The sequence below is a fragment of the Homo sapiens genome, chromosome 10 (genome assembly GCF_000001405.40).
Source record: "Homo sapiens chromosome 10, GRCh38.p14 Primary Assembly".
NCBI classification, from domain to species: domain Eukaryota; kingdom Metazoa; phylum Chordata; class Mammalia; order Primates; family Hominidae; genus Homo; species Homo sapiens.
In genome coordinates, this window is record NC_000010.11 from 46496420 (window position 1) to 46504939 (window position 8520).

Consider the following 8520-nt stretch of genomic DNA (forward strand, 5'->3'; position numbering starts at 1 on the left):
TTTAATCTGGATGCCCTTGGATGCCACTTCTGGAAAAGGCCAGGGATCATAATCAAAACATTAAGTTACTCTTACATCACAAGCATGCCCTGATCAGAACAGACACTGACCACAATAACCAACAAGACTGTAGCATACTTAAAAATAGATGTATACGAGTATGCTCCTTGTACAATTGTTTATGTTAGCAAACAAACAAGCAAACCTGGAAACAATCCAAAGTTTCATCTATAGGGAGAAGAATAACTAAATTATGAAGGATCATCAATCTGGAACCACTGCAGCTCTTTAAAAAAGAAAAAGAAGGTAAAACTACTATTATTGCCCTGGCAGGATATCCACTATAGCTGTAAAAAAAAAAAAAAAAAAAAAAAAGTTTAGAAAATAAAAATAAACAAAGGAAGTAATTCAATTGTAGCTCTTCAAACTGAGATGGTAATAACAGCAATTACTTAAGTACAGTGTAATTATGTCTTCCTGGGGGTTGGTTACATCTTGGCAAAGTTTATCACAGCAAGAATTGGTTTTGGCTTCTGGGGTTGGAGCCTTAGATTGGAGATAGAAAAAAAACCTCAAAGGAAGCATTCCTGTCCAGAAGGTAAAGTGATTCCCACCCCCCTCTTCCCTGCTACAAAAGGTCATGGCTTTGGGGGGCACTGAGGTCTGGCATCAACCCTTAAGTTTATTTTTCCCATAAGGAAAAGCACAGGAGTCTCATGCTAGCACTTTAGAGAACCAAGCATGTGGATCTACAGTTCCAGGGAAGTCCCTGACTCGGGGACACCCTTCTCCTGAAATCCCCACACTCAGTCAGGGCCCTGTCATGTGTTCCCATGGCCCCCAGTTCTCTTCTTGGTGGCACATACCACACGGGTCATTTATGTTAGGATATGTACCTCTTTTTCCCTCCATGAGACTCTCAGGGGGTCACCATCATCCCCAGCACCTAGACAGTGCCCAGAGCTTTGCATATACAGGGTAAATATTTACCACGAATAAATGAAATTAGTAAGGGGCTACAAGAACCCAAGATGATTGAAGAGATATACCAAGAAATGATCAAATGACAGCCAGAGTGTCAGTCACTCAGCTGGTTCCAAATGCCTAATAAAAATTAACTCCCTCTGTCCTTACCACAGCCCTATGAGGTGGCCACACTTATTGTGCTCACTTTATGATGGGGAAACAGGAGCATAGAAGTTGGGCAACTTTCCAAAGTCACACCGTGAGCGATTCCACAACAAGGGGTTGAACCCAGGCTGTCTGGGTCCAGAGGTCTTGTTCTTAACCACAGTGGGCTGCTGCCTCTTCTCCCTAAGCTAGTGCATCCTGGAGGTCCTCAGAATGACTTGAACTGGCCAGAGGGTAAACGTCTGCTGAAGGAATGAATGGGCAATGAATTTCTAGGAACCTGGGGCCCTGGGGTCTGGGAAGGCCGTTGCCTCCCCAAGGGAATGACACAGGGCCAGTCTGCTCTCCTTCTGTGTGGGCCCCTGGACACTGGTCTGGCATTGTCCAGACACCAAAGCACATCCGCATAGCATGCATCAAACAAATGGTGACCTGCTAATGAGGAAATGGCTAAAACAGGAAGCCATGACCAGAGTACATGCTTCATGCCTCCAGCCCCGCATTGGGTAATGGAAGGGCAATTACTTCTCCACCTCTTCACCTATACAGGGCAGACTTGCCTAGAAGTTCAGAGTCCTTCCTGCCAATTTGGCATCCTTTCTTCCAGAGTGTTCCCAGGCTAGGTGGGGATGGGAAAAGCCACAAGGAGCACAGCAGGATGATAGAGATGTGGCCAATGGGCAATGCTGGCACTGCCACCCTGGCCAGAAGAGCTCACTGTGGGACACTTTCTCATTGTTTACTAGGGAAGAGGAGGTTGGTTTGGAATTCATTTTGATTTGTTGTTGTAAATTCTCTTTGCTGTCCCAATTTAAACAAAAAAGAAAATGGAGAAGGGGAGTTTTTAATCAAATGGATTTTCACTTGGGTTTTATCATGAACCTGGAACTGCTTTGAAAGCTGAAGCCAGCTGGGCTTCTGGGTCGGGTGGGGACTTGGAGAGCTTTTCTGTCTAGCTGGAGGATTGTAAATGCACCAATCAGTGCTCTGTGTCTAGCTAGAGGATTGTAAATGCATCAATCAGCATTCTGTAAAAATGGACCAATTGGCACTCTGTAAAATGGACCAATCAGCAGCACTCTGTAAAACGGACCAATCAGCAGGACATGGGCGGGGCCAAACAAGGGAATAAAAGCTGGCCACCTGCTCCAGCAGTGGCAACCAGTCCCTTTCTGCACTGTGGGTGTTTTGTTCTTTTGCTCTTCATAATGAATCTTGCTGCTGCTCAGTGTTTGGGTCCGCGCCACGTTTAAGAGCTGTAACACTCAAGGGGAGGGTCTGCATCTTCACTCCTGAAGTCAGGGAGACCATGAACGCACCTGAAGGAGCAAATTCCAGACGCCCACCTTTAAGAGCTGTAACACTCACTGTGAGGTCCACAGCTTCATTCTTGAAGTCACCAAGACCGAGAACCCACCAGAAGGAATAAATTCCTGACACAGCTTGATTTTGTCTTTGGTGAGAATTAAGAAGGGTCACATCCACTGATGACCAGTTGGGGGATAGATTTACACTGGCTATGCCCAGTGGTACTCAAAGAGCCACAATTACTCTCACTGTGGAGCTTCCTTCAGTGACACCAGAGACCAGGAAGGGAGCTACCTAGGAGACCTCAGCCTGTGGAAATCAAACTGTGGTGTGAGCCCTCCTGTTAGCGAGCAGTGGTGCTGGCTGCCTTCTCACACTGCCACTTGGCAACCAGAATACAGGGACTTCACCGTGAGTTTGAGCTAAAACTTGCCTGCTAGTGAATCTTAGCATAGGTAATTTTGGGTTAGGAGAATTTTGGTTTCTCTGATGACTTGGTTGACATCTTTGAGATTCAGCAAGCCCCAATTCAGATTAGACTTAAAACTTATCAGTGCAAGTCAGACAGCAGTGATTACTCTGCTTGTTGAGACCTAGGGACATCCGTTTGAATTCAGTCCGCACCCCATGGACGAGCCCAGCTCAATGCCAGGAAGTTTATGAATTCCTGGGGCCTTCTAGTCTCATGGTTACATCTGCTGCCAAAAACCAGATCCTATGAAGTTAGTTCAGTTTAGTGATCTTCTCACCAAGCTGCAGGGGCCATCCTGTTTTGTACCATGGTGATGAGGCACAGAGCACACCCTCTTTTTACCTTCAAAGAAAGAAGCCAGACATTGATACAGGTTACTGTGTATGCAGCAGACTATCCTGAAGGTTTAGGGAGACAGAGTATTGATATCTCAGATCTGCAAACAACAGAACAGCCCCTTGGGGATCACTATGATCCAGGCAGAAGGCAGAATTTGTTTTTTAATCAAATCACCAATTAATGACTGAAAACAGTATCTCCTGGAACAAGAAATTATTATTCCTCTAGGCTTGAAACAATATGAAACAGAGGAAAGTTATTTGCAAAAATTGGCTGAATGTGCAAATTATGCTTCCACGTGAATAGCAAAGTAATTAAAACCATTTTCAGAAAGTGAACTACTTTCTTAAAACAGCATGCCGAAAGTGGTCCAGAGTTCAAGATTTTGAAAACAAAAACAAAGTTGGTACTTGAATTCACAGATTGAAGCTAACTAGAAGTCAAAGAAAAGACACACTGGATTATGAGAAGGAGCAGGGATCACAGCCAGGTGCAGAACAAAGTCTGAGCGTGCCTGACCTTCCCTGGAGGTTCCGCCCATGTCACCTGCCCACTGGGTGTTTCCTGTTTTGACCATGCATTCCTTAGACCTTCTGTTGTTAAAATTTTTTCTCCTTGAGAACTTTAACTGGCCAGAAATTAGAATCCAATTTTGAAAATACCAAGCTACTTTCATTATGACACTGCAGTTAAGCAAATATTACCCAAATTTGGACAGCCTTGTCCAAATTTGTTTTATATTGTTTTATATTTAGCAATATAAAGCAAAGTGTCCCATTTAAAAATTGGTAAAACCTTATAATCAATATGCATTAAAAATTTTTAGTATCACATCATTATTAATGGCAAAAATTTCCATTTATAAATAACAGAACTTTTGTTGATTGTATTTATTCTTCCATCCTGGGATTTGGGGTTTTTTCAATTTTGTTTTTTAAGTTTGTTTTTAATTTTTTTTTTTTAATTCAGAAAGAGACCTTGTTGCCACCCTCTGCATACTCAGAAAGGAACCCCAGTCCGTGCAGAAAGGGGCCACGGACAGTGGCTGTCCACCCAGGATGGGCCCAAGAAAGGAGTCGATGTCCTGAAACAGTCCCTGCCCCTTTCCTGAGTGTTGGGGGATGGTGGGAACGACGACCATGTAGCTCCTAACAAAGGGCGTCTGCCTCTGGGGGTGTCCTGGGGCGTGGCTTACTGAGGGCTTACTGAATTTTAAAAATTCAGATTTCAGCCAGGCACGGTAGCTCACACCTGTAATCCCAGCACTTTGGGAGGCCAAGGTGGGCGGATCACCTGAGGTCAGGAGTTTGAAACCAGCCTGGTCAACATAGTGAAACCCCATCTCTACTAAAAATACAAAAAAATTAGTTGGGTGTGGTGGCATATAATTGCTGTAATCCCAGCTACTCGAGAGGCTGAGGCAGGAGAATCGCTTGAACCTGGGAGGCAGAGGTTGCAGTGAGCCGAGATTGCATCATTGCAGTTCAGCTGGGCGACAAGAGCAAGACTCTGTCTCAAAAAAAAAAAAAAAAAAAAAAAAAATTCAGATGTCCAGCTTTTCATGAAAAAATCCAAAGTTCTGGTCACACGCTGGACAACAATAGCCATAGGTGAGCACCTGCTGCCCTGGGAACAGGCACGTGCCCTCCAGGTGGTGAATGACCCACTTCTCTCACCAGCTTCAATTGTGTCCATCTAGGACATTTGGAACTCTTCCAGGCTGCTGCACTCACCAATGGCACCTTCCTGGCCTCATGGGCATTTGAGTTTGTACTCCTGGCCAGGACCTAATGCTGCAGACCAGATAACTTCCTGGGTTCTTGCCCTAAAGGAGGAGCTGAAGCCATAAGCGCAGACCTCTAATGTGGCTCAGAGACACTGTGGAGAGAGGGCAGTCCAGGCCCAGGGTCTTGACGGTCCCGCCCCTGGACTTATTAGGCCCCCTCTGCATAGCTCATAGTGGCAGTGATACCAGACGTCACCTAAACCTTCCCACTCCTGCGGCACCCACTACCATTCAGCCTCAGGGCCATCCTAACCTTAACTCCAGGCTCCTCTCTCACATGGGACTATTCCAGCTCTGACTTTAGCTCCCATGAAGAACTGGCTCCCGAGTCCTGGCTCCCCATCCAGGACCCAGGTTCCAGTCCTCTCAATGGGCTCTCCCTGATAGAGGTCACCTTGGGTCTGGTGGCCTACCCCATTTCTTACAACATACACCCCACACCAGCCTTGGGCCAGCCACCTCCTTTGTGCCCCAGAATGGCTGTCAGGGAAGACCCTGCCTGTGTGCCCCAACCTGTGGGCAAGGCAAGGCCTAGGGCTCTGCCCACCAGGAATAACAGACCCAGCTAGGGAAAGGCAGGCTTTGAGATGCACGTGTGATGTTGACCCTCCCCCCGGGTCACCCCAATACCCGTCTGCCTGATTCTCTGTTGCCCCACAGGGTCCCAGAGAGTGCTGAGCTGCACATTTGACAGGCTATGTGCCCATGGGTCCAATGTGTCCATGGATGACCTGAATTCCAAGGCCATCAGGAAAAGCCTATTGTGTTGGGCCCCCAGGAAGCCAAGCCAGGCTGGCTACCCTGGGATCTTCAGAGGAGAGCAGCCTAGCTTGTACAGATCCCCTCCATGGGCCAGGCCCTAGAAATTTCACACAAAAAAATTATCCTTTTTTACAGCAACTCATGAGAGAGACCATGAGGATACCATTTTACAGATGAGAAAACTGAGAGTGAAGGAGGTGATGCAACCAATGAGTGACAGAACATGGACATGAAACATGTCTTGGCAACTCCAGTACCCAAGATTTCTCCATGTCAGCTGTCAGCCTGCCTGGCTCACAAAACCTTCATCCCCAGTGTAGAAAGGACTGATAGACAAGTTAGGGGCTTCTCTCTCACAGGGCCCTTGTGTGTGCCCACCCTTCACACACATACACCCATTCACACATACATACATACATCTGCACACACAAACACCTATGGGGTCCACACACATGCACACAAATACACGCACAAACACCCTGCATATCCACACATACACACAGGCATATTCACACATATATACGTGCACCTGCATACAAACACACACATAGACACAAACACCCATAAATATCCACACACACACAAACATGCACATACACACAAATACTCATACACAAACACCCTACATGTTCACACATACAAACTCCTGCACTCACACAAACACCTTCCATATCCACACATCCATACATATATATTCACACACACACACACACGCATGCTCACACACACGAGCAGAGCACTGGACCAGGAGCAGGAGCTGGGACTCTCGTCCCAGATCTCCCATCACACTTCTCAAGCCTTGGCTTCCTCATCTGTGAGATGGGGTTGTGCCGCCTGCTTCCCAGAGTGTTGCACAAGCAAACATGCATGACAGCCCAGGAAGTGAGAAGGGTGTATAGGAGGAAAGGGTCCTGATTTTTGGCAGAAGTTGCCCAGGGAGTAGTGAGTGCTCCACACCTTTGTATGTGCTGTACCTTCTCTCTGGAGCTCTTTTCTCTTCTTCTCTGGCTGGTGAACTCATCCTCACCTTCCAGCTCCAACAACCACACTTTGTGTTCCTGATGTCTCCCTGTAGTGGAATTCCTCCACCATCCTCAGTGTCCCCAGCTCCTGTGTGAGACAGGACTTCCTACACTGGAGTGGGACACGTGAATGAGGCTGCATGGCTCTTCGGAGCCGGATGAGTCCCGACTTCTCCTGCCACAACCCAAGTCCCTTCACAGACCCACAGCACAGTCTCTCAGAGGTATCTTTTAAGGCCAGACCCTGGCCTTCCCTTTGACAGCACTGATGCAAAGCTCCTGATGTGACTAGGAGTTTAAGAACCCCCTAAGTGCCCCTAGCTGCCTGGTATAGACCTGCCAGCCTCTGCCCATCCTGCTTCATCTGCTCTGACCTTTTGCTCTCTGGTGGAGTCCTTGCCATGATGGCCTGGGCCCAGTCTGGTCTGGCCTAGGGAGGCGCTTTTCTGCCCAGGCATCAGGGCCTGTCCTCACGCAGAGTTCAGAACACACAGAGGCACCCCATCACTCTCGAGGTAGGCCTCACACCTCGCAAGTCAGCCTCAAAAAAGCAAGTATGAGGCAGGATCCCCTTTCTGGCTTTGGGTAGGGGCTGCAGTTCCTCTTGCCATGTGGAAGCTTCTTAAATATTGTACTACAATATTTAAAAATATTCCCTTTGTTCTACATACCATTAATAGATCAACTCTTCTACAGCTCTGCAATCACTTCTGACTTGGCAAAGCTGAGCCTGAGCTCAGGGAAGGGCTCTGGCTTCAGCCTTGTGAAGCAGAAAGATCGTGGACTCTCGCACAGGACCCCTGTTTACATTTCTCTCAAGCACAGCCTCACCTTCTCAGTCCTGCTCCAAAAACACCACACAACTTCCAGTTCTGAGAATGCACCCTGTTCTCTCAGCCCTGGGCTTTCCACATGCTAACCCCTTCTCAGAACCTCCCTTCCTTCACTTCGATACCTAACTGATTTCTATTCTCCTTCAAAACCCCATTCTAACATCACCTCTTCTGGGAAGCTTCTCTGACTTCTCTGAGGCCCTCCCAGGCTATCATTTCCTTCCTGATAATGGCTCCTTATAGCACTGGCCACTTATATGGAAGTGGTGCATTTGAGTCTCTCCCACTGCACCATGGGTTTTCAATGGAAGAGTGTGTGTATCATTCCTCTTTGTAATCCCAGCTCTGTCATCACAAGATGGAATTCAAGCATGTACCTGGTAGTTGATCAAGCTCTATATTCATAGAGCCCAAACCCAAACCTAAACCAAGAAGAAAGAAGAAAATAATAGAGGCTAGTCTAGAAATAACATAGACCAGGCTAATTCCTTAATAATAAAGACAATAGAGAAAATACTTCCCCAACCCTTGCTAATGCCAATGGGAAAAAAATAGAGAAATCTTTAAAAACCAAAATTGGTTATTTGAAAAGATTAACAAAATTGGCAAATCTTTAACTATACTGACCAGAAAAAAGAAAGATTAAAATCAGAAATGAAAAAGAAGATATTACCTCTAACCTTCAAAAATAAAAAATTATAAGTGAATGCTATGAACAATTATATGTCAATAAATTAAATGACTTAGATGAACTGGAGAAATTCCTAGAAAAACACAGAAACCAAACCTGACTAAAGAAGAAATAGAAAGTCTAAAGAAACCTTTAACAACTAAAGAGATGAAATTAGTAATCCAACAACTAACTGC

At 46.2% G+C, this 8520-nt stretch overlaps 2 annotated features.

The window, feature by feature from the left end:
- Nucleotides 4143-5011: an enhancer, noted in NCBI's record as "NANOG-H3K27ac hESC enhancer chr10:47033702-47034570 (GRCh37/hg19 assembly coordinates)". NCBI's record gives its function as "activates a minimal SCP1, AML or CMV promoter by ChIP-STARR-seq in naive H9 embryonic stem cells {active_cell/tissue: H9 hESC(naive)}" and the evidence as "EXISTENCE:reporter gene assay evidence [ECO:0000049][PMID:30033119]".
- Nucleotides 5012-5880: an enhancer, noted in NCBI's record as "H3K27ac hESC enhancer chr10:47034571-47035439 (GRCh37/hg19 assembly coordinates)". NCBI's record gives its function as "activates a minimal SCP1, AML or CMV promoter by ChIP-STARR-seq in primed H9 embryonic stem cells {active_cell/tissue: H9 hESC(primed)}" and the evidence as "EXISTENCE:reporter gene assay evidence [ECO:0000049][PMID:30033119]".